General features: G+C 43.1%; 1 protein-coding gene across 6 annotated transcripts in view, besides 7 other annotated features; it reads left to right on the top strand.

Annotated features, from left to right (window-relative positions):
• Positions 1,194-1,283: an enhancer, noted in NCBI's record as "active region_13467". NCBI's record gives its function as "activates an Ori minimal core promoter by ATAC-STARR-seq in GM12878 lymphoblastoid cells {active_cell/tissue: GM12878}" and the evidence as "EXISTENCE:reporter gene assay evidence [ECO:0000049][PMID:35858748]".
• Positions 2,175-2,244: a silencer, noted in NCBI's record as "silent region_9525". NCBI's record gives its function as "represses an Ori minimal core promoter by ATAC-STARR-seq in GM12878 lymphoblastoid cells {active_cell/tissue: GM12878}" and the evidence as "EXISTENCE:reporter gene assay evidence [ECO:0000049][PMID:35858748]".
• Positions 2,275-2,484: a silencer, noted in NCBI's record as "silent region_9524". NCBI's record gives its function as "represses an Ori minimal core promoter by ATAC-STARR-seq in GM12878 lymphoblastoid cells {active_cell/tissue: GM12878}" and the evidence as "EXISTENCE:reporter gene assay evidence [ECO:0000049][PMID:35858748]".
• Positions 2,645-2,834: a silencer, noted in NCBI's record as "silent region_9523". NCBI's record gives its function as "represses an Ori minimal core promoter by ATAC-STARR-seq in GM12878 lymphoblastoid cells {active_cell/tissue: GM12878}" and the evidence as "EXISTENCE:reporter gene assay evidence [ECO:0000049][PMID:35858748]".
• The window catches only part of BCL2 (BCL2 apoptosis regulator), a 196,745-nt gene continuing 174,036 nt past the window's right edge, over positions 2,730-25,438 (top strand). The window contains exons 1-3 of one of the 6 annotated variants that reach the window (NM_001438935.1): positions 3,051-3,646; positions 3,868-4,738; positions 20,955-21,189. In NM_001438935.1, coding sequence (NP_001425864.1) covers positions 4,154-4,738; positions 20,955-20,966 — 597 coding nt within the window. In that variant the 5' untranslated portion in view covers positions 3,051-3,646; positions 3,868-4,153 and the 3' untranslated portion in view covers positions 20,967-21,189. The other 5 variants (XM_047437734.1, XM_011526135.4, NM_000633.3 and 2 more) reach the window with 5 other exon arrangements.
• Positions 4,190-4,429: a silencer, noted in NCBI's record as "silent region_9522". NCBI's record gives its function as "represses an Ori minimal core promoter by ATAC-STARR-seq in GM12878 lymphoblastoid cells {active_cell/tissue: GM12878}" and the evidence as "EXISTENCE:reporter gene assay evidence [ECO:0000049][PMID:35858748]".
• Positions 5,720-5,769: an enhancer, noted in NCBI's record as "active region_13466". NCBI's record gives its function as "activates an Ori minimal core promoter by ATAC-STARR-seq in GM12878 lymphoblastoid cells {active_cell/tissue: GM12878}" and the evidence as "EXISTENCE:reporter gene assay evidence [ECO:0000049][PMID:35858748]".
• Positions 11,033-11,242: an enhancer, noted in NCBI's record as "active region_13465". NCBI's record gives its function as "activates an Ori minimal core promoter by ATAC-STARR-seq in GM12878 lymphoblastoid cells {active_cell/tissue: GM12878}" and the evidence as "EXISTENCE:reporter gene assay evidence [ECO:0000049][PMID:35858748]".

The raw sequence follows: 25,438 nt of genomic DNA, 5'->3' as shown, positions 1-25,438 counted from the left end.
AATGGAATCTAATAAACATGGAATCTGAACGCAGGAATGGTTTCACTCTTTCATTTGAAAGAGTATCTAGAACATTCCCAGGGAAAATATAACCCCTAGCCAAAGACTGCAATACAGACCTGTCTCAAGACTGATTATAGCCAAGATGCCACATAAGGAATCAGTCTGGGAAAATCCATAGAGTGAGGCTCTGTGGGAGCAAAGGAAGACGAAAATCAGTCAGCTTTTCTTTCTCTGGAAGTAGGGGATCCGTTTCCTTCTGGCTGCCCCCTTTGCAGAAGTACAGTTTCTTTTGCAGGTTTGTCCTATCATTTCCTCACTCATATGCTGAGTATTAGGAGCTTGAAGCCTTTCAATTCCTCTTAGGTAATTTTGGGGCTTTAAAATACGCTTTCAAGATTTCTAAACCATACTGTTGTGCAATTGGTATGAATTTATGTGAGAACATTTATTCTAGGTCAATCTATACCCAGTGTCTATCCAGACCAAAACACCTCCCACGCGCATAAAAGGGACTCTGTCCCAACCATCAGAAGGGCAAGAAGGAGGATCTCCTTTCATCCCCTCTTGCCTGGATAAGAAATTTGTACCCAGGCCCCCATTCCTATGTGAGAGAAGTTGGCTTGTTGGGCTGATGGGATACAATAAATGAAGAAATAAAATAAAAACACCCAAGAGAGATGGCAGTGCGTATAGTCCCAGCTATTCATGAGGCTGAGGTGGGAGAATCCTTCGAGCCCAGAAGTTCGAGTCCAGCCTGGGCAACATAGCAAAAGCCATCTCTTAAAAAAAAAAAAAAAAGGCCAACTAAGTAAAAATTAAAAAAATCATAATTTGGTGTGCTTTTCTGGCTTTTTAAAGAATGTTTTGATTTTAGAGTAGGAATGAGACAAAATAAAGATGTCAGGCAGGGCACAGTGGCTCATGTCTGTAATCCCAGCACTTTGGGAGGCTGAGGCAGGCGGATAACGAGGTCAGGAGTTCGAGACCAGCCTGGCCAGTATGGCGAAACCCCGTCTCTACTAAAAATACAAAAATTAGCAGAGCGTAGTGGCGTGCACGTGTAATCCCAGCTACTCAGGAGGCTGAGGCAGAATTGCTTGAGCCTGGGAGGCAGAGGTTGCAGTGAGCTGAGATCGCACCACTGCACACCAGCCTCCAAGATACAACAGAGCAAGACTCTGTCTCAAAAAAAAAAAAAAAGTCATAGCATATTTGTACACATTGTAGTACTCATTTGTCATCTTTCTTGACCCCAATAATCCAGTGTCCCTATATATTTGCACTCGAGCCCTATTAAGTAAGCCGCTGTGCTTCTAGAAGACCTTTTTCTTTTCTTGGTGCTTTGTCAAAGACTCTTGGAGATAAAAATACACACGTGCAACTTGTTTGTCCTCTTGTCCTTTTTTGCTAGGGGCTATTCATGCTGATTAATTTAAAACTGTCTGCTTGCGCGTACACACGTCTGCGAGTGTGAATGTGTATGTGTGTATCTATGTACCTCATTTGAGAAAGTGCGGCCAACTAGGATTGGCTACGAGGCAAAGGTGGAGACCTTTAGGAGCCCACCCACCCCAGCGTTAGGACGGTGGGCCTGAAAGTTACTATATGGAAGTCCTCATCGTGTAGCACTAAACCAGTGTAAAAGGTGTTAGGGACAGAGGGAAAACATTGACTTAAACTGTCGTAAAGCCCTTGATAAACCCCTTCCCTGGAGCGCTGAGTTCTGCATGGCCTGGGCCACGGACTAGGTGTTCAGGTGGACACGGGCGGGGATGCGCGTGCGTGTGTAGTGCGCGGACACCTAGGAAGCTACTTGAAAGTAAACACCACGCTCGGGGCGTCCCTAGACATTGCTTAAAACGTGCAGAGTCACCTGTCTTCACAGCAGGGCAGCGCTGAGGTCCCACTGCTGGGGGCGGTGGGGGGCGGCATTGGCCTGGGTCTTCCCCCGGCGGCCGAGCGCCGGTAACACAACGTGTGTGTGTGTAGGCGCGTGTACACACTCTCATACACGGCTAGAAAGGGTCCAGGCGACACACACACTCCCACATACACGGCTAGAAAAGGTCCAGGCGAGACACACACACACACACACACACACACACACACTCCACACACACTCACACGGCCAGAAAGGGTCCAGGCGGTTCCCGGCGCTTTTCCAGCCCTTGTTTTCATGGCGCACCCTCCCGCCAGCCGCCCCCCTCCGCACTCCGTCGTCCGCCCGGCCCGGCCGCGTGCGGTTCCCCGGGAGCCCCCACCCCGTCGCGGACCCCAGCGACCACCAAGTCCGCACGCGGCCTGCCGCAGGCCTGAGCAGAAGGCCCCGCGCACACCCACCGCGCCGCGGCCGCGCGGGAGGCCTGTGCCGCCCGCGCCACCCACTGGCCGGGCCCCGCGGGCGCAGCGGAGCGGGCGGGTGGCCGGCCCGGACGCGCCCTCCCCGGCCGCGGCCCCGCGCGCCATGTGCCCCCGGCGGGACGCGCCACTCCCGGGCCTGCCGCGGCGCCTTTAACCCGGGCCAGGGAGCGGGGCGGAGGGGGCGGTCGGGTGGCTCAGAGGAGGGCTCTTTCTTTCTTCTTTTTTTGAATGAACCGTGTGACGTTACGCACAGGAAACCGGTCGGGCTGTGCAGAGAATGAAGTAAGAGGACAGGCACCACAGCCCCGCTCCCGCCCCCTTCCTCCCGCGCCCGCCCCTCCGCGCCGCCTGCCCGCCCGCCCGCCGCGCTCCCGCCCGCCGCTCTCCGTGGCCCCGCCGCGCTGCCGCCGCCGCCGCTGCCAGCGAAGGTGCCGGGGCTCCGGGCCCTCCCTGCCGGCGGCCGTCAGCGCTCGGAGCGGGCTGCGCGGCGGGAGCTCCGGGAGGCGGCCGTAGCCAGCGCCGCCGCGCAGGACCAGGAGGAGGAGAAAGGGTGCGCAGCCCGGAGGCGGGGTGCGCCGGTGGGGTGCAGCGGAAGAGGGGGTCCAGGGGGGAGAACTTCGTAGCAGTCATCCTTTTTAGGAAAAGAGGGAAAAAATAAAACCCTCCCCCACCACCTCCTTCTCCCCACCCCTCGCCGCACCACACACAGCGCGGGCTTCTAGCGCTCGGCACCGGCGGGCCAGGCGCGTCCTGCCTTCATTTATCCAGCAGCTTTTCGGAAAATGCATTTGCTGTTCGGAGTTTAATCAGAAGAGGATTCCTGCCTCCGTCCCCGGCTCCTTCATCGTCCCCTCTCCCCTGTCTCTCTCCTGGGGAGGCGTGAAGCGGTCCCGTGGATAGAGATTCATGCCTGTGCCCGCGCGTGTGTGCGCGCGTGTAAATTGCCGAGAAGGGGAAAACATCACAGGACTTCTGCGAATACCGGACTGAAAATTGTAATTCATCTGCCGCCGCCGCTGCCTTTTTTTTTTCTCGAGCTCTTGAGATCTCCGGTTGGGATTCCTGCGGATTGACATTTCTGTGAAGCAGAAGTCTGGGAATCGATCTGGAAATCCTCCTAATTTTTACTCCCTCTCCCCGCGACTCCTGATTCATTGGGAAGTTTCAAATCAGCTATAACTGGAGAGTGCTGAAGATTGATGGGATCGTTGCCTTATGCATTTGTTTTGGTTTTACAAAAAGGAAACTTGACAGAGGATCATGCTGTACTTAAAAAATACAAGTAAGTTCTCTGCACAGGAAATTGGTTTAATGTAACTTTCAATGGAAACCTTTGAGATTTTTTACTTAAAGTGCATTCGAGTAAATTTAATTTCCAGGCAGCTTAATACATTCTTTTTAGCCGTGTTACTTGTAGTGTGTATGCCCTGCTTTCACTCAGTGTGTACAGGGAAACGCACCTGATTTTTTACTTATTAGTTTGTTTTTTCTTTAACCTTTCAGCATCACAGAGGAAGTAGACTGATATTAACAATACTTACTAATAATAACGTGCCTCATGAAATAAAGATCCGAAAGGAATTGGAATAAAAATTTCCTGCATCTCATGCCAAGGGGGAAACACCAGAATCAAGTGTTCCGCGTGATTGAAGACACCCCCTCGTCCAAGAATGCAAAGCACATCCAATAAAATAGCTGGATTATAACTCCTCTTCTTTCTCTGGGGGCCGTGGGGTGGGAGCTGGGGCGAGAGGTGCCGTTGGCCCCCGTTGCTTTTCCTCTGGGAAGGATGGCGCACGCTGGGAGAACAGGGTACGATAACCGGGAGATAGTGATGAAGTACATCCATTATAAGCTGTCGCAGAGGGGCTACGAGTGGGATGCGGGAGATGTGGGCGCCGCGCCCCCGGGGGCCGCCCCCGCACCGGGCATCTTCTCCTCCCAGCCCGGGCACACGCCCCATCCAGCCGCATCCCGGGACCCGGTCGCCAGGACCTCGCCGCTGCAGACCCCGGCTGCCCCCGGCGCCGCCGCGGGGCCTGCGCTCAGCCCGGTGCCACCTGTGGTCCACCTGACCCTCCGCCAGGCCGGCGACGACTTCTCCCGCCGCTACCGCCGCGACTTCGCCGAGATGTCCAGCCAGCTGCACCTGACGCCCTTCACCGCGCGGGGACGCTTTGCCACGGTGGTGGAGGAGCTCTTCAGGGACGGGGTGAACTGGGGGAGGATTGTGGCCTTCTTTGAGTTCGGTGGGGTCATGTGTGTGGAGAGCGTCAACCGGGAGATGTCGCCCCTGGTGGACAACATCGCCCTGTGGATGACTGAGTACCTGAACCGGCACCTGCACACCTGGATCCAGGATAACGGAGGCTGGGTAGGTGCACTTGGTGATGTGAGTCTGGGCTGAGGCCACAGGTCCGAGATGCGGGGGTTGGAGTGCGGGTGGGCTCCTGGGGCAATGGGAGGCTGTGGAGCCGGCGAAATAAAATCAGAGTTGTTGCTTCCCGGCGTCCCTACCTCCTCCTCTGGACAAAGCGTTCACTCCCAACCTGACCGATAACGCCTGCCATCTAAAAGTCTTTAACTTGCTTGCTAGTCGTGGAGATCCAAAGATCTAGCGTTTGTAATCCAGTAGGATGTGGTGGTAAATGGTACCCCTTCAGTGTTTCTCAAGCTGAAGGTCCAGGAGTCCCCAGGACCACCGTTTCCTGGCTTGAGCAGCTTGTTGGAACCGGAGGGAGGTTTCAGGGACTGCTTATGAACCAGATACCAGGTTGGGTCTTGACAGTCTGCATCCCAAACAAGCTCCCCTGAAACAAGCCCGTTGTACACTAAAATTGGAGAACAACCCGATTAGAAGAATAGACTCCACAGAAGACCAAGGGCATCATCAATCGGTAAAATTTTCCAAAAGAGGAAAACCAATGTAAGTCTTTTTCCCTGAAAAACTTAGTTGTGTTTGTAAAGAGCTAAGTTGACATTCCAAAGTCCTTGGACTGGAATCTCCAGTGTGTGCCATGTTCCCAGTGGGCGTGATGAGGTGTCCTGAGGAGTATCAGGCTATGGCTTTGCTACCTTGTCAGTGACAGAATTTGCATCGGCTGCATTCTTTGTATTCTATAATTTGTGTATGGTTTACCAGTTTGCTAGAATGTTAGAATCTTTTGTTTTTCACCACTCAGAGTGGACCTAATTTTGTGGTCGGCTGAAAAAAATTTGCATCTAGGTATCTATGTAAAGTGTAGAAGAATTGATTCTTAGCTGTGGATTATCTTACCCTTACTTTAGTTGAAGTGATTGATACCTGTGGCTTTGAAGAACATTTGTGAGATGATCTTTTTCTCGTACTGTGCTAGATAGAGCTTTCATCATTATACCATACAATTGTACTTTTCTGAGATTCTTTGTTGGAGGGGGTTTAGTTCCTAAGAGTCAAGGATTGTAATGGAGATCTATATCTCATATCTAAAATGATGAATTTATGAAAAAGTAATTCTTGTGTGAAGTTTTTTTTTTTTTTACACTTTTTGTTTTAATCTGAAGAGTTATCTTTGAAAAACAGGATGCAATTCAGTGCTTCCTTTTATAGCCTCTTGGGAGAATGACTAATGTCATTATTTTATAGGACCTAACAGGAGCAAAAAGCCTAGAAATTACTGCAAGTGGATTAGATGTCAAGAAGCACACCACATGTTTTTATTACATTTTACAAAGTGTGCTCATACTAGGAGGCCAAATAGAGAAAAGGCCAAGAAAAGTAGATGATTGATGTGAACATCTGATCTTATTTGACCAAAGTTGACAAAATATTGATGCCACTGTTTGGTGTTTAAAAGTAAGATTAACTAAAATGCCCCAATTTAAATTTCTAAAATTTAAATCCTCTTCTTGAATTGTTTGTTTGTTGAGATCTCACATTATCAGATCTTTAGTAATTCTGGAAGAATTTGCTAAAGGGTGAAAAGAATATTTTTGTTAAATATTTGGTTAAGTAGGTGGTTTGATTTTTAATCACTATAACTAAAGGGGTTGGGACTTCCAGATTCCCAAAGGATCCTTTTAAACCAAAGTAAAACTGATTTAATAGTTTTACTATTTCACATTTTTGTGAAAAATTCACACTTACAAATTTTCTTTCTACTTGAAATAAATCCAAGGTGGTAACTGGTATCTGTCTATCAAATAAGTTAATAAAAATGTGGGAAACAGAGACACATGTTTATGACAGAAATTAAGATACAACCTTGATATTTGTTGCTGAATTTCAGTGTGTTACCCTCTCATGTAACTGAAGTTTCTTTTTAAGTAAAGGCTCACTTTTTTCTTTTTGTGAAACAGAGTTTTCATAGTAGACCTATCTTTGTGGTCAACAGGTATCTGAGGTTGATAAATGTAGAGGCTACATTTTATGATGCCAAACCACAATGACATACCATAGAACATGATAAAAATTTTTTGACAAAACTGCTTCTAGTAAAAATAAATCATGTAGAAGCACAGATGGTTGATGGTAAAATATGTAATAGCTTTCAGAACAATGCATAGATGGTGACTATATAGGAAAACAAAGGAATTTAGAGAAAAAATATATATATATACCAGGAAATGCACTCATAGGACACTTTGGAATAAAAGTGGTAGTGTTTGAGAATGATGAATGATTTGCCTATCATTTCAAATGTGCATTATTAATCTAAAAGTCATTTTAGGCATTTGGCATACAGACAGATTTTCTTCACATTTACACCAATTGGGGTTACATCTCTAATAATATGTTGTATTTTATAGTGTAAGGTAGTCTTAATGGTAAAGCTTCAGAAGAGAGCTAGCATATTTTCTTGGCATGTGACAATAATCTGCACTGTCCCCAGGGCTCCGTGGATTAGCCCATCTCCTGAATACTACACTGAATACTCCAGGCTTTAGACTGCAAGTCATTTCTTTTTCTTTGCTGCTGCTCGTAGAAAATTGGAACCTTGTGAGGCTGAGGAAATCTGTTTGACTTTTGTGTTCCATAACATGGATAAATCAGGTCCTTGGAATGATCAGCCTCTGATAGATTGTCCCAGAAGACTACAAATTAAATAAAGACTAAAGAAGTAATTGGCTGTAGAGTGGAGTGTGGATTTATTCCTAGGTCTGAATAAGGCATTGTGTGGCATCCAGAGAGAGGCAGGACAGAGGAAGCAGTGAGAGAGAAGCAATTCTAGAAAATGTGGATACCTTGCTGCTCAGTGTGGCTTATAGACAGTAGCACATGCATCCCCCGGAGCTTTGTAGAGATGCTAAAGCTCAGCTCCCACCCCAGAGCTACTGAGTCAGAATATGTGGTTTGTGTGCACGTTAAAGTTAGCGATGCTGGCTACCATCCTTGGTTCCTGGTGGCATCTTTTAGGAAGAGTTGCTACCTGGGATGGATTCTGCATTGTCCCCTTCCAGTGGCCTTAAAGATCTATAGTGTTACTTGGAATACCGAGTATTTCCCAGGTGTCCACTATTGTGATCTGACTTTAGGAAGACATAAATTGGATGAAGGAGAGATAGCAAGCAGGTAGATCAACTATAAGCCCAGTCTTCTCATGAATATTTTTCGTAGTAGTTATATAGTTTATATTGGCATCACTGGTCCCATTAAAAAGTAAGATAGCTTTTCTTCAATTAAAGGCAAGAGAATTAGCTCTTTTAATAGCTCTGTTAGTTATTATTTTATCCCCTCATAACACAGTTTAAATTCTGTAAATGACTTTAGTGACCTTGCAGCTTCTTTAAGACAAAGGGACTCTTGCAGGCAAGGGATTGAGTTTTGGGCAGGTGATGGAGAGTGACCCTCTAAACTGGGAACTGTGACGACATTCAGCTTCATGTCTTAGGAGAGAGTGAGATAGGAGCCACTAGAAGAATGAGATGATTCAGACAAGAGATTGTAGGAGATTGGCTTTATTCTGTTGACAAGATGGTAATCCGACTTATTTTTTGGTTTTTTGGTGTTGGTGGTTTAGGAAGACAGGAACTTCTCCACACCCGGTAGAGTTCAGCTGCCTTTTCATTAGTCAGCAAGCAGTTTTTCCTTTCTCAAGGCAGTCCACATCCAGCAAAACATTTGATTAACTGGAAAGCAATACCATTCTCATGCCAGTGTACAAATTACATGAAAGAGCATCATTTTTCTAGTGTCTGAGGATTGGCTGCTTATGGCCAATTTTGGCAGCAAGACGATAGGATTAAAAATAGCTTGAAGATGATCTAGTCTTAAATAATATATTTCATGATGAACTTTCCTTGGGAAAGTGCATCTTTCTGCCTACAAGAATCACATGACCCCTTTCAATAATTTATGTAGTAGAGAAAAACACACTATTTCTCATAGAGTTTTCAGTCATGTGCTGTGGTGTGATTGTTTCTGGACATTCATAAAATTTTATAGTTAACTGAATTCTCTTTTCTGTTTTGTTGCTATTTAACGTCCATTGAAAACATGGCTTTCTTTTGCGCATTCTGTTACTTTCAGCTGTACTTTCTAATAAGAATGGATTGCCCTTTTTAGCAATCTTTGATTGAACTGGTACATTTCAGATTACTTAAATGTCATCAGGCCACACAGCATACCAGGTAACAGAAAGCCATAAATTAAAAATAAAAAAAAGGCAAGCAAAATTCTTGTTGTTTTTTCTTATCTCTGTTCCCAGTCCTATTGCGCTATTTGGAGGGATGATACGCCCACTCATGAGCGAGTGTGTGGGTGCTGCATGTTAACAGTGGTTCTTCCCACCCAACATACCTCCGCACCCTTTTCTAAGGTCACTCATTGTGTCTTAGCAGTAGTTTAGCAAAGCAGTATCTCAGCAGAAGTGCATTTGTGCTAGAAAACAACACTGTCTTTGTAGTGTACAAGTAGAACGTTTTCTTTTTCCCCCAGAGATATATTGTATTTGAGATTCAAAGGTTCTGTTCAACCTTTTTAAGGTAATCTAATATCACCTTATTCAGGTATAACAGTAACTTGTCAATCTGGTCATCCTTTCTGTCAACCACATGTAGGAGACCACTCAGTGAATTTACTCCACTGTGAATTTTCTCTTTCATCCCTCTTGGTTTGGCTTAATCAACCTTAATGTTTGATGTCTAAGCAGGATTAATGATGAAAATCATCCAAGGACTGACAGTTATTCCACAGATGTGATTGCCAGTCTTACATGAGTCCTGCCTTGGGTTAGGTTGGAGGCACGGCAAGGAGAGCTTTGCTTCTGCCCTGGATAAACTCACAGGCTAGTGTTGCAGGCATCTTAATAAACTCGTAGTTATCATACAGCCTGATAAGCATGATCCTAGACTCAGAGACTTAGAGGAAAAAAGCAAATAACTATAAGTTATTTTGCATGTACTTCAGCCTTGGTCTAAGAACGTTATTTCTGACCATATGGCTGTTCATGTGTGCATTAGGCCTAATTTAAACAGGGCCAAAATGTAGATACTTTAAAAAATACTGTGTAACGTAGACATATGCTTAAGAGAACTGAAAGGCAGGGGGAGTTCCCTTGTTAAATATTAACCCACTAAGCACTATTTATGCATACTAAGAAGACTTAATAAACACCAGTCTACAATTTCTAAAGCATTTCATTAATTCTTTTTAAGTAAAAGACAATCAAGGCTCCGATTAGACTGACTGGAACAGGGTAATTTGAAGAACTATCTTTCTTAAATAACTCTTGTATGCCAAAAAATACAAGTAGGTTTTGAACCAGAGCGGGGGCTCTTCCTTTGAGCAGGGGAAAAAAAAGCTTCTGTTTTGTTTTGGTTTGAGGTTATATTACTGTTCTATTTATCAAGACACTTCTACGATGCTAGTTACAGAAATTCACAGTCCATTGTAACACTGGCATTTGCCTTCGGACTTTTTTGGGCTTGTGGTCTGTTCGTTTAAATGGAGACTGTAAAACTTTCAAAATGCCAACAAAGCTGTTTTCACTTAAAAACATATTTTTATAGATTGTCACTTGTTGTTCTTATATATGCCCAATTCTGTATATGCTATAGCACTATTTCTCTGCCCTCCATTTGCCAGACAAAAGATACACCCATCTGTCCTTCAGTGTGAATAAGGATTGAATGATTATTCCTCTCTCTTCCAAGCCATGGGACTTTCTCATAGGTGCCACCACCCCTGTGACCATCCCCTACCTGCCTTATCATTCCACCGGTGAGGGACCTCTCAGGTGTAGCTCCTTGTTAACTTCCAATTAGTGATGGGTAGGATTTACCTGAAGAAAACCGTAATGCGCTTAGATACTAGCAAAAGGGAGCAGAAGTGGGGAGTCTAATCAAAGTGAGAGGATAACCCTCACCCCAAACTTGCTGCAGGCAGCTGGGCAGGTCAAAATTCTGTGACCAGACACTATCCTTTTCCTCTAGTGATTATAAACTTTAACCTGTGCAGAGAAAAGATAGTATCTGCTGGCAAAATTTGTACTTACTTTGATTCCTCTAGTGCAAGATTATAGTGGGGTTATACCTGAGACTTCAATAAATGTTTGACTAACTAAACTAAAATAGCTTAGGGTAAGGACTACTTCCCCAAACGCCCTTTTAAACATGTGAGAAAGGGAATCTCCCTGACATACTGGTATGGCCATTTGTAGCAATATACTGAGAGTGACTTGGGTGATTTTCTGGGGCGATCAACCACATTCCATGAGCAGGTTAACTGTGGAAGACACCTGCCCTTGAGCATCGCGTTTGGGCCACATGCGTCAATGGGGAAATTTGTGTTTCCATTCTGCTTCTTGTTTTGCCTTCACAACTTCAGGGATAGAAGCGTATTCCATTTTTAGTTAATAATCAGCTCTCTGGGGCTTCCATGTAATGAGTCAGAAACTGATGACTGACTCCACTCTGCTCATTATCATGTCTCCCAAAAACAACCCGAGAACCCACTGTGTCAAGTGAAGCTTTAATTTTTCAGGGGAGGTTTTCTCCATTGAGACCAATACATCTTTTCTTGTGACAGATCCAGTTACCATATTTCCTTATTTTTAACTGTCGAAAAGACAGTTAAGCTGCAACAGAGTATGGTGAGTTTACCAATTTTAATACTTGAAGCACCAAACAAAGGATCAGTGTTGCAGGCTGTCTCTTCTTGACTTTTTCCAGCTCTCCTTAGCAGATAACCAGGATGATATTTTTTCTGCTTTACAACATGATGAATGCTATATCTCTATATTAACTCTGAAATTGAATTGCAGCCAAATATTCCTCTCAGCTGCATTAGAATTTTCTAAAAGAACATGAGACACATAAACTTAGTCTTCTTAGTTCAATGCTATATCTCAGATATATTGATATCTGATTTACAATTAAAATAGGAATAAAATTAAGTACAAATTATATCATCAGCTTTAAATATTGATTTATCTTCTTGAAAAAAAAAAAGCGAGTCCATAAAGGATGGCAGCATTGGCATTTCTGGATGTAAAATTTCAGGGCTATCTCCTAGCCATATCCTTTATGGATTCCTGCCAGCATCTTTAAAAACACACACACTGAAGACACACAGAGAGGTTTTGAGGTATTTTATAACAAAATTATAAGAACAGGGAGACAAAGCCACTTACTAAACATTAAAGTGATAGTATAAGAAGAAAATGATTTGAAGAAGTCCTAATTGAGGGAAATGAGCAATTGTCCACAAAACTTAACCCTGGGTTCCCAGGAACCGGGGTAGTGATGGTCATGGAGAGGGGTTTTAGAATCTGGTTATTTAGGAAAACATGCACACTAACTTGTTTCATTGAAAAAAACATTTATTGAGGCCCTACACCATGCAAAGCTCTATGCTAGGTGTTTTAGTTAAGCGAAAAAATGTCTAAGATAACTTTTGCCTTCAAGGAACTTACCAATCAGTAGGAGACCAAGACAAGGATACAAATCACTGTAATCCTGGACAATGTGTAGTAGACAGAGAGGCCCAACCCAGCTACAGTGGTATCTGAAGAGTTTCATGCCGGAGATAATGTTGAGACAAGTTTTAGAGAACAGGCAGGCGATACGGGGAGAGGGTCTTTCAGGTAGTGGAAACTGGAGGCGTCAAAGCAGGCATGAATGCGGGAGGTGTGTTTGGGGAATTGTGGAGAGTCTGATTTGACTGGGGCATGGAGAACTCTCCTGAGATAAATCCATAGTTTTGAGAACTTACCACTGCATACTAAGTTGTGAAACTTGTATAGACAGCCCTCCCTATCTTTGGGTTCCACATCCATGGATTCAACCAACTTTGGATCAAAAATATATGGGGTAGGGCAGGCACAGTGGCTTAGGCCTGTAATCCCAGCACTGTGGGAGCTCAAGGTGGGTGGATCACTTGAAGTCAGGAGTTCAAGTCCAGCCTGGCCAACATGGTGAAACCCTTTCTCTACTAAAAATAGAAAAATTAGCCAGGTGTGGTGGTGGGCGCCTGTAATCCCAGCTACTCGGGAGGCTGAGGCAGGAGAATTGCTTGAACCCAGGAGGCGGAGGTTGCAGTGAGCCGAGATCGTGTCACTGCACTCCAGCCTAGGGGACAGAGCGAGACTCTGTCTCAAAAAATAAATAAATAAACAAACAAATAAATAAAATAAAGTATATAGGAGGATGTGCATATGCAAGTACTACTCATTTAATATCAGGGACTTGAGCATCTTCAGATTTTGGTATCCACTGGGGGTTCCTAGAGCCAATCCCCTGAGGTTACTGAAGGATGGCTGCGTTTAACTGTACCAGGGATGTTGAAAGGATGTTGCAAAGGTTCTCAGACAAGGCAGGATGTGTGCGTGGGAGGAAGATTGACAGTGACTGAGCCTGGACGGGGGAGACCAGGTATGAGGTCTGAAGCACCTGGAACAGAAAGGACAGGACAGATGTGGGCACACTGCACGTGTAGAATCAAAGGACTGACAGCAGGTCGAATGTGAGGAATGAGGGAGGGAAAGAATCAGGACTCAAGTGCCATCCTGGCTGCCTCAAAAAATGATACTGTCTTCCAGAGGGAAAGGAAAGATAACAACAGTTACTGCTTTGTGGCGTACATGTGATGAATTTCATTTTGGACATTCCAGTAGGATATCCAAGTGGAAATGCCCAGTAAGCCTTAGACATAAGGATCTGGATCTCAAGAGAAAAATTGAGGTTGAACCATAATATGTCTTTCCCCTCGAATCATGTAGGTTTCTCTTTTGCCTTCTTTCATTGCCCTAAGTGGTCCTAAATGCTACTGCTGATGCTGTCTTAGTTTGCGACTGTTGTTTGCACCCCACCTTTTCCCAAAGGTAATCTGTAGACTTGCATGGATTGGGTTAAGGTGGTTAACCTGCAGCTTTGCTGTTCAAAGCTTGGCTTCCCACTACCAGTTTGCCAACTTAATGAGTACTTCAACTTGAGTCAAATTAGTATTGTTCCAAATATCCTAATAGTATCCTCTATGTGTGACTCTAGGTCTTACAAAATCAAGGTGTCCTTTCTCATTGAGACTTCCTTATTAATAAAATATTTCTTCTATTAAATTCAACCTGGCACCAAGCATAGTAGGTAATAGGCACACACAATGACTGTTTATTGAATGAATGAATAAAATGATTATGTTAGGGCATTCTGAGCAATTCATCCTAAGCAGCTAATTTTCTCCTACTTCTTTTATTATAGTGTGTGTTTGTGTGTGTGTGTGTGTGTGTCTGAAATGTCCCATCCTACAGGTTCATTAATATTTAATAGAAATGAAAGAAGAAAAATACCTATTAAGTGTTTTGATTTCATCCTTTTCATTGAATTGAAAAAGTATATCATTTATTCCTGAAGAGAAATCTAGATTTTGCTCTATATTAAACATTTGACATTTATTGGTCCTTAATGCTAATATAGATACCAGCCTGCTGGTTGTCACATTCTATCTGTTTATACGAAGGTTGTAGACACACAGTGTATGTACATATGCCTAGTTGCTCTCATTCCTTTTGTTTCACATCTCAAGCCTAACCCAGACTGAAAAGGTTTTGAAGGCTGAGATTATTCATCACCCCATCATTATAGAAAGCAGGGCTGGCCCAAGGTTCTCACAGTGGGAGCAAGGTGGATTTTAACTCTGATCAGTGTTGTAGCTCAAATATAAAAAGAACTGCAGCACAAAAGTCACAAGGATAAATGATCCCCTCGTTCTTCTCCCATAAAAATAAGCAGCCAATTGAAGGTGGAAGTCAGTACAGTGCGGCATTCCCAGAGGCGACAGAACCTAAGATTCCATTTCTAAAGACACTGCTCAACAAGAAGACCACCTGGGATGTCTTACATAAAACCATTGGCCTGGCAGCTTTTGGCTGAGTTCTCTATTCTGGTTCAAGCCAGCATCACAGCCTATCTGTGGTTTTAACAACTGATGGAATTTGTATTTTGAGAACCCTCATCCGTTAGCATGAAGCAAACTCAAAGCATTGTTGCTCATCAGTTGTCATCTGTTTGAGAAAGATTTTGATTTGTTTACTTGTAGTGAAGCTTGACCATACTTCTCCAGGGGCTTTTTAAAAAGATGAATGTGTCAGCTTGTAGATTTGTCCCCATGAATGAAACCACAAGCAAATTCTCTTCTCTCTTCCAGCCTCCCTTCCTCCCTCTTGTTTCTTCAGTGGCCATCTGTGCATTATGTTCCCATTGCCAGGCCCTCTTCAAGCAGCTTATCTATGAGTGAATTCAGAAACTTCAAATTATAAAGGACACCCAGATAATTGGCCTGTTCTCCAAAGTATCTGTCCCCTGTGCTGCTGCCAGATTCCTTCTTAATGAATACATCCAGTGACAGTGGGATTCTTGAGCTTGTCCGTATCTGTGAGAAAATGAGCTCTCCTGCTTTGTAACAGCTTGTGGCTCAGGGAAAAAAATGACAGCCATTGCACAAGTTTCCTTTGAATGTAGTTTTCTTTCCCATAAATGATACTTTGAGAATACAGTTAAGGGGTTATTAGTTTTCTATTTCATGCTTGGCCTGTGTGTGAGAATAACACAAGCTGTCACTGCAAATCAGTAGCTAAAAATGCTTTGTCTGGTTAATGTGAACATTTAATATTTGGCTCAATTAAAAATTAACCGATGAAAGTACATGTCATTGGAATTTGAAAATACCTTTTGTACGGAATACTTAAAGGGCATCACCCATGACTAAACCAGTGCTTTTAAAATATGGAGAATATGGGGAAATTTAATATGAGTTGGGATACTTGACTCTTTTTTAAAACCTCTCTACCTGTTTGGCACAACAGGGTATTGATAAAGAGTGGGCTCATTGTTATGGCAAAGGATTCACTTGCATCTCTGTGTTTTTAAGTGGGTAATTGTTTTTTTGCACTCAGTCACATGATTAAAGCAGACAGAACAAGAGATCAGTTATTCATTTATACCATACTTTTAAAAAAATATTGAGCCAGGCCCTGGGGAAGTGGGAAGTGAGAGCCAGAGCGGCGTGGCTGATAGTCTAGGGCAGTGCTATCCAATCTTTTGGCTTCCCTGGGCCACATTGGAAGAAGAAGAATTGTCTTGGGCCACACGTAAAATACGCTAACACGAATGATAGCTGATGAGCTAAAAAAAAAAAAAAAGCACAAAAAAACCTCATAATATTTTAAGAAAGTTTACAAATGTGTGTTGGGCTGTATTCAAAGCCTGCCATGGATTGGACAAGCTTGGTCTGGGGGAGTGAAGACCATTCAACATCAGCTGCAGGAGAGCATGTTTAAAGCTATGAGAAGAGATGCAGCAATAGTGGTGGCATTTATTGGAGTCAAGGAAGTCTTCCCAGGAAGGGGACTGAAGCCTGAAGGATGAGCAGGAATCAATGTAGTGAAGTGGGTGGGAGGAACCAAGTGTGGCCCCAGGCAGAACTTCAGGAACAAAGGCCAGAGGCAAGCGGCCACATGGTGGACTGCAGGAGCTGAGGAGTTCAGCCTGGCTGGAGTGGAGAGTGCAAGTGGGTGGGTCAGAAAGATGATGCTAGAGGTGGCCCACCCTGGAAGAGTTTGTTTCAGATACGTCACCCTGACTCCACTCCAGACCGTTAATGAGACGGGGGAGAAATCAGTGACCAGATAGAAGGCTCTTTCAGCAAACGGGCAAGAGATCAAGTGCCTGACCTAGAGGAATGGTAGTGGGAACGGCAAGAAATTGCTAGCTTTGCACAATGATTAGGACTAGAGTGGAGAGATTTTTTGGAAGAGGTAATGATTGACTGAATGCTTTAGAACATGGCTCAGTTCTTCCTCAGCTTTGCTGGTCTTTCTGTACAACTTGGAAAGAATGTGGTCATTGTTCTGGTTATATATAAATGCTTTTTTGTGTTTTTTGTTTGTTTGTTTATTTGTTTGTTTTTGGAGATAAGGTCTTGCTCTGTTGCCCAGGCTGGAGTGCAGTGGCACCATATCGGTTCACTGCTGCCTCGAACTCCGGGGCTCAAGTGATCCTCCCACCTCAGTCTCCTGAGTAGCTGGGACTACAGGTGCATGCCACCACACCTAGATAATGTCTGTCTTATCTTTTTTTGCGACAGGATCTCACTTTGTTGCCCAGGCTGGTCACAAACTCCTGGCTTCAAGCAATCCTCCTGCCTCCGCCTCCCAAAGTACTGGGATTACAGGCATGGGTCACCTCACCTGACCTTATACAAATATATATTTTTTCTTATTTCACTTTTAAAAAATTGTCTGGTTAAAAACTATTTTTGTTAGAATTCACCGTGTGATAAATCTTTATTAACTATCAGTTAATAAAAGTATATTTGAGGAAAGAATTCAATTATGAAAGGCAGTTTTCATAGAATTTTTTTCCGGGTGAAAAAAATGACAGTGGTTTCTTGCCTTTACGTAGGATTTTAAAGTTTCTAAAAAAAAATTCCATATCTGTTGGCCCATTTGATCTTCACAACAACCCTAAGCAAGGCAGATATTGTATTCCAACTTCTCCCTACTTTCCTCCCCACACACACTGTTAGTTATTTGTTTATGCCCATGTAAAGAAGAAAGTTCGCCCAACAAAGGTGTGTACGAGCCAATAAGCACAGGAAGAGCTGATATTCATTCCCTGGGTTGGGAATCCCGTAGATATTTCTTTATCCTGTGCTGCTTCTCTGGATATGTGTTCATAAAGACACAAGATTGCTTAGTAGAGACTGAAATATATTGCATTTTGAAAACTAGTATACTCTACTGCTTTCTGTGTCAAAAATGTTCAGGGAAATTGGAATGCAGTCTTTTGTTTCTGGTTACTTTCCCTTCTTCGATTCAGCCTTTGCAGCGTTTCTCATGCTTGCAGCAGAGGGGGATCTAGCTGCTTCCATTTGGTGCCTACCATCAGCTCAAGACCCTGTGAGGATGCGCTTATGAGCCAGGCGGGCTTGGACATGAGCTGAAGGGACAGTAGTAGGATTGACGTGCGAGGTCTCTAACACTTGAAGGCCCTGTAAAACAGCCCCTTTCAACAGGGGCCAATTGGAATTAGATGAACATGTGTGACTGTTTTTGCTTGTTGACACCTGACTAGCAACGGTGTTATGTTAGCATGCTGTTTGCTGCCTTTATTTCTTTGAATTCCTCAGAGTCCTTATTTATTATTTTCAAAGGTTGTAATTAGCTTTAATCGGAAGTGCCCGTAAGTGTAGTCCTGTAAATGTTGCTCTTCCATCTTTCTTTTTTCTTTTCCCAAGAAAATGCCGCATTGGACCATCAGGAAAAATAACTAATGGGTACTAGGCTTGATACGTGGGTGGATGAAATAATCTGTATAACAACATCCAACAAGTTTACCTATGTGACAAACCTGTACATGTGCCCCTGAACTTAAAAGTTTAAAAAATTTAAAAAGGATGTGAAACAAAAAAATTAAAAGAACAAACACTAATAAATATGAAGAAGTCCTTCAGAGTCTTTAAATTTGCTCATAGAGCATTGACTGAGACACTATCTCCTTTAGTAACTAAATAAAATTAAAAAAATAACACTGGGCTCCTCTTTTTAGGTGACCAAAAATATTTGGTACATGTTTTTTGAATGTTGAAAATGGTGGAGCCTTCATCAGTAGGGTTTCCGCAGTAGTAAAGGGCATGTTACTGCAAGTTCATTCAATCAACAAATATTTATAAATATTTGTTTACTGTAAAGAGCCTACTCTGGGCCAATCATTGTTCTAGGGGCTGGAGCTATAACAGAAAACATGACAGGTTAAGAACTCTCCCATCTCTTGTGAATCCCACATTGTGAGGAAGTCAGAAAAGTAAACAACTTAAAAATTAACAATATAACATAAGGGCCACAAAGTAATGAAAACAGGGCAATGCAGTGCAAGGGTGCTGATGGGACAATATTAACTTCTTCCTTGGTCTTTGAGATTTTTCAAGCAGTACTACAAGTTTACACAGAGGAGATTTAATGGGTTTTTCTTCATTAATAGTTGAAAACAGTGTTGTACCTTAAAAATAATAAATGTATTAGTATAATATAGCCCTTACATCAGTTTAAAATGAGTTACCATGAACAATATGAACTTAAAGAGACTTTTACTATTTTTGGCTAAAATGTTTAGCGCAATCTTTTCCTTACCTACTCATCCTTCTCATTTCCCCATTTCCATTTATGACAACATTGGTCATTGGCCTCAGTCACCGAAAGTCAGGAGGAAGGAAGGAAATGAATATTTATTGAACCCCAATATGTGCCAGACCCTGGATTTAACACTTTTAGGGATAGGAGATTATTTAACCTCAATAACCTCTCCCTGAGGGCAGGAAGTGGATTTATAGATGCGGAAACAGAGGTTCTGCAAAGTCAATTGACTTTGCCTGGTAAGAGGCAAAACCAGCATCCTTTATTTAGGCAATCCAAGTGATGTTCATGTCCTCTGGAACTTAAATTTTTAAAACAAAAATTTAAACAGAAACATATTACAAAAGAACAACTTTATGCATGTGACCTTTTGGGTTCTTTAGGAAGCCAGTTAGTCATCTTTATTTTAATAACTAGAAGGTGAAATCTTTCCTACAACATGTAATTTTAAGTTCTCTCATAGTTAAAAAATAAATGAAACAACTTTTTTTTTCTGTCTCCCTTTTGACTCCTAGAGTCTGTTTAAATAGCCTTTGAAAAATAAGTACTAATCACTGGTTCCTACCAAGACCAGACACCTGATTCAGAAGCTCTTACAGGGGTCAGAGTGTGCGTTGGAAAAACAAACCCACAGTGCCTTCCTGGTTCCAGAGAAATGATCTCACTGTCAAATTGTAACCTGCCTAATACCTTAATAAAAAGGTGGGGAAAGTCTGCGGTTTTACCTCTGGTATGATCCTTTTCCCTTCACTCTTTTTATTTTAGGCATGACCTTAGTGTTTTTTTTCTTCTAGAGTCCAGAGGTGGAATGACATGTCACTCAGGTTTACAAGATGAGGATGTATCTGTTTTTATATTCAGCTGTACATTTTATTCTACTTAAAAACAAACCCACCTTCAGCAACCAGGGCGTATCAAGGGAGAGTTATTTCCATCCCCCTCAGTTTAATTTGGATACATTTGGCCCAGAACAGCACAGTGTTTCCATAATAACATTTGAACAGGATGCCCTTGTGTTATTTGCAGGGCTAAGGGAGTTTCAGCATGGGCCAGGAAACTACTTTCTTAAAAGAAACTTAAACGCGAAATTCTGACAAGATAGGAAACTCTTACTGCATCCTTACTAAACCTCTTTTTCCCCCCTACTTTCTCATTTATTTATATATCTCTTGTGTTATGAAACATATATAGGTTGAATATTTAACTCACTCTGAATTCATGTGCAGAATAAGTCACTCTTCAGAAGGACAAAAATAATGTTTTAAGTGGTTTGTTTAATAAAGCACATATTAAAAAATTTCAATTCAACATCTTCCCTGGGCACAACATGTTATGACTTTTTAGAGTAGAGCTTCGTGGTATTTCATAAGGAAGCCAAAAAGGAAGGGAAATTATTATTCGGGCAGAGGGACAATAGTGACCTTTCATTAAGCAAGACAGAGTTCACCATCAGGCTCCCCAAACCCCAGGCTCTGTGTTAGTTGAACTGAACAAGCCACCAACTATTTCCTCTCTCTCTTTCTCTCTTTCTCTCTCTTTTTTTTTTTTTTGAGAAGGAGTTTTGCTCTTGTTGCCCAGGCTGGAGTGCAGTGGTGCAGTCCCGGCTCACTGCAACCTCAGCCTCCCGAGTAGCTGGGATTACAGGCGCCTGCCAGCACGCCTAGCTCATTTTTTTGTATTTTTTTTAGTAGAGACTGGTTTTCATCATGTTGGCCAGGCTGGTCTCGAACTCCTGACCTCAGATGATCCACCTGCCTCGGCCTCCCTCCCAAAGTGCTGGGATTACAGGCGTGAGCCACCACACCTGGCCTCCTCTCTTTTATAGACCAGACTACTTTAAAAATATTCGTCCAATATTACCTAAAATATTTCATTTATAAGACATAACCCAACATTGTAATATTTAAAAGACTGCATTATGTAGTTTTTACATATCCTTAAGATCCTAATGAATTCAGATAATCAGTATTTTTGTTCTTTTAACAGCTTTACATGTGACCTCTTAGTTCTAGAGTTTGATCTCAGGAGAAGGGAAGAGTAGATTTGGATTCTGTGCCGTGGACAGGCGCACTGGTTTCCCGTGTGAAAAGGACAAAGCCCCGCCCCTTCTGGAGCTCAGTTCTCTTTGGGATTATTCATAATGTTCTCCAAGAAGCTCGGAGTGCCTGTTTGTCGCCAGTACTGTAATTTGTGAGTAAAAGATCTTTATGATTGCAAAATACATTAGCGCCTTCGGAGATCATTGTTTCTTGATGACGGTGTGAATCACAACTAGGAACTAGGAAGTCATTTCAGCCCCTTCTGTGCAGAGGGATGTCATGAAGTACATATGCTAAAGTTCATACCCATTGCTCATAAGAGCTCAGCCAACCTTCTCAACCAGTTCATGTAAAAATATATCTGTATAAATATGCATACGTATGTATGTATGTGGTGTGTGTGTGAGTTAAGATATACATAAAATTTACGTTTTCCACCAATTTTAAATGTATAGTTCAGTGGCTTTCAGCACATTTACTTTGTTACATAAACCATTATTATGTAAGCCATTACTGACATCTGTTTCCAGAACTTGTTCATCATTCCAAATGGAAACTCTACCCATTAAACTATAACTCCCTGTTTCTTTTTCTCCCCAGTCCTAGGTAGCCACTATTCTATTTTCTGTCTCTATAAATTTGACTCTTCGAGGAAGAATTTGATTCTTCCCATAAGTGGAATCAGACAATATTTGTCCTTTTGTGTCTAGCTTGTTTTATCTAACATATTTTCAGAGTTCACCCATGTCATGGCATGCATCAGAATTTCATTCCTTTTTAAGGCTGAATAATATTCCATACCATTTGCTTTTTTAAAAGTCCATTTTCTCAAAAAATTGGTTGTCATTTCCACTCCCCACCCAGCCAATAGAAACAGCAAATATATTAAATTAGAATTGACCTGACAGAGGAGGTAATGGAGGCCTGTAAATTATTCAAAGAATTATTTTAGAGTCTGACAGCAAGGAAGAAGACAAAAATGCTCTTAAAACCAGCTCAGGAGTCTCTGAGGCTCTTCTGCGTGGGGCAGGCAGTCACAAAGATCTCTACGGCTCCTGGAGTTCTCGCTGGATCGTAGCACAGGACAATCTTAGTGATTCCTAATGATGCCACTGAGTCATCAAGACAGAGTTATTTTCTGTAGGAAGAGTCAAAGAGTTCAGGGAAAGTGAGTAGTAAGTTACAGAAATATCTCCATTCCAAATGGTTAAAATTTTTTAAAAGTTTAGGCTTCAGTCATCTGAAAAATTTACTTGTGTGAAATGATTCAGTCCAGACTGTAGTGAAAGAGAGGAATCCCAGCAATATCAAAGTAAAATACACACACACACACACACACACACACAGAGAGAGAGAGAGAAGGAGCACAAGATCTCTTTCTTTTTTGTTTTTTTCTCTTTTTTTTTGAACAAACTCTTACATATCCTTCAAGCCCAGGCCAAATGGCACCTTCTCTGTGAATGTGTGTGTGTTAAATAGGCAGAGAGACCTTCAGGGGCGTTTGCTGACTTCTTTCATTCTTTTTCATCTCCTACCTCCCTTTCTAGAGTAGAGAATTAGTAGGAACTTGACTCAAGTGGACGGGGATGTAATTTCTAGGGGGAGTTTTTGCTGTCTTACTGCATCTAAATTATTCTGTCTGTGCATAAATTAAGTTGTACACATATTTAGAAGAGCCACCTCCCCCACTGCAGGATGCATAGAGTGGTTTTTGTGAGGAGCTGCTTTGCAGCCTCAACTCTGCCTCCTGACTTCATTTTGAAACCACTGTACAATAAAACGTGGTCATTTGTTTGTTCCACATTCTTTGTGCCTACTGGGTTTCTGGACATGATCTCTGGCCTTGGGGGGGACAGTCTCCTGGGGAAACAGACACACAAACAGATCTATTACAGTCCAGTGAGTTTTTTCCTGGGAAAGTTAAGGATGGTTTCACAGAGAAGGTGCCGTTTGGCCTGGGCTTGAAGGATACATAAGAGTTTGTTCAAAAAAAAAAAGAAAAAGAAAAAAAAAAAGCAAGAGATCTTGCTCTCTGGAGAATGTGAAAGGGTACCATATGCAAATAAGCAGAGTAATTGAAGGGCCTGCCAAGCTTGGGAATGGCAAAAAGGCCAGAGTGACCAGAAGAGAGGCAGTTGGGGATGGAATGGAAGGGGATGAAGCGGGAAGATAGTGGAGGCTCGCTCTCCAAGGCTCTATGTGCCCCACTAAGGAGTTTGATTAGACCTTTCCTGCAGTGGAATGCCAGTAAAAGGTTTCTAGCAGGATACTAAGTGACATGGCTGGATTTTTTTGTTGATGAAAATACTGCTGGTAGCAGTGTGTTGGTGGCACTGAGGGCAGCAAGGAGGCCAGATGGGAAGGTGGGGTCAGGTGCCCAAGTGAAGGTGCTGGGCAGCTGCCCCAAGGCATGGGCAGTAGGAACTCCCAGGATGGGACTACCTGAAAAGGTGTTCTAAGGTAGAATCAACAAGATTGTGCACAGTTGATCATCGCTGAACACTCAGTGCTTAGCGCAAGGCAAGCACATAATAGATGCTCAGTAATATTGACTAAATGAATGAATGCACAGGCAGCTGGGTACACATGACAAGCAGTACAAGCAAGTGTTAAAGTGACACCCCAGCTATACTCACAACAGTGATAAAGCAGAGGTTCACATGGCCTGTACTTTGCCCAACTCTTTCTAAACGTTCTATCACTATTCGTGTATTTCTTTCTTACAACAGTACTGGGAGGTGGTGGTGTTTTTATCCTTGTCTTGCAGATGAGAACACTGAGGCTTGCAGAGGGGGACCCATTACAGCTGTTTGGGTGGCTGGGCTGGAATTTGAACCCAGGCGGTTTTGGAGTACTTGGAGCCCTTAATTCTGTTGCTCTGCTGCCGCCCAGCTTTTGAGCCTTCCAGGAAGCTGCTGCTTTCAAGGCCCCAGAAGTGATGACTCGGGGCAAACCTAAGTGGTGGCAGGATGCAGAGAAGCCTGTTTAGGAAACCATTTATCTCACGTAGACATGCCATCTGAGATGACCTTAGTAGAAATAACAATGGCAATGATAACAGCTCCGCAGCCTTTTCCCTGGCATAAGAAACTAGTTTTGTAATGAAAATGGAATTTCTCTGGGGAATAGTCCTAGAAAGAGATAGGTAGTTGAGATAAAAATAACAAAATATAAAATAGCATTGCATTGTTTTCTGTGTATTTTTCCTTCCACCTTTGTCCTTCTCTGTTGTGTAATTTACCTTGTTCCCTTGGCCATGGGTAGGTTGGGCATCACTGTGATTTGACTTTTGTCCTTTGTCCCAAAGAAAGGGATGAGTGTGTGCATTTAGAGGTAGCTATTTGCACCTTGCCTGGAGCTTGCCATCAACATAGCTAGCTAAAAGGAGGAGAGGCCCTTGAGGGTAAACCTTGCTTTAGGAGTCGAAGCCCTTGGCTTTCTGGAATGAAGGGTGGTGAGTTTGGTTTCCCAGATGGCCCATGGGCCAGAATCTGAGCTCCTTGGCATTCAGGTGTGTGTGCCGTTCTGGATCATTACAACCACGACTGAGCTGTGTTTTCAAGCCATAGGTCAGAGTCGTGTAAAATAAACTCTTGTCATAACAAAGGATGCGGCAGCCAGATTGCAGCTCGGAGTTCCTTCACTCATTTACCCCAGAGGACACTGATTTTCATGTCAGCATAGGGAAGAGATTCCATTTGTCTGCCGATTCTAATTGGGGGTCTGTCTTGCTCGACCACCCTGGTAAATGGTGATAAATACTGGTGGCCATAGCAGCACAGAGAGAGAGTGCCGGCCTGGAAACCCAGCCAAGCTCTCTTGGCTCCAATTTTATGCAAATTTGCCTAATAGAATGCAAATGATTTCACAGGAATACGGATCCCAGGGACACGTGCTCATCTGTTTTCAGCAGTGTTCCTGGGCTTTTAGAAGCAGCCACTTGAGAGGCCAGGCAAGTCCACAGAGAGGCAGGTTAAAGGTGGCTTGCGAAGGAATGGCTCACCCCATCAGCCGATGCCACGCCTGGAATTTCATTATGAGCAGCGGCTTTCCCTTTGGCAGTCTGCGAGCCAAGACTTCTGTGTTTTGGGAACAGGAAAAGGTCAACACAGACTAATGCTTTTTCAAAAAGTCCTTTATTCTTCCTCTTATTCTACAGATTTTCTGCGATCACAGTATATATCCAAACATTTACTCATCCTACACATCTTGATTGGGCATTTAGTCACTAAAAGGCACTGTGCTAGGCACTGAGAAAAGGCTGCTCTGTGCCACCAAGGTGTGACACCATAACATTGTGTCTAAAATCTACTCCTGCCCTCTCCAGTGCCGTGGCTGTGGCTACCAGGCTCACGTAATGTGGCCAATCTGAATTGAGATGCGATTGGAGTGTAAAATACACACCAGGTTTACTGGATTTCAAAGATGTAG

Source organism: Homo sapiens, chromosome 18, assembly GCF_000001405.40.
Source record: "Homo sapiens chromosome 18, GRCh38.p14 Primary Assembly".
Taxonomy (NCBI): domain Eukaryota; kingdom Metazoa; phylum Chordata; class Mammalia; order Primates; family Hominidae; genus Homo; species Homo sapiens.
Note: the sequence above shows the minus strand (reverse complement) of the source record. Positions and strands in the feature narration are given on the sequence as shown.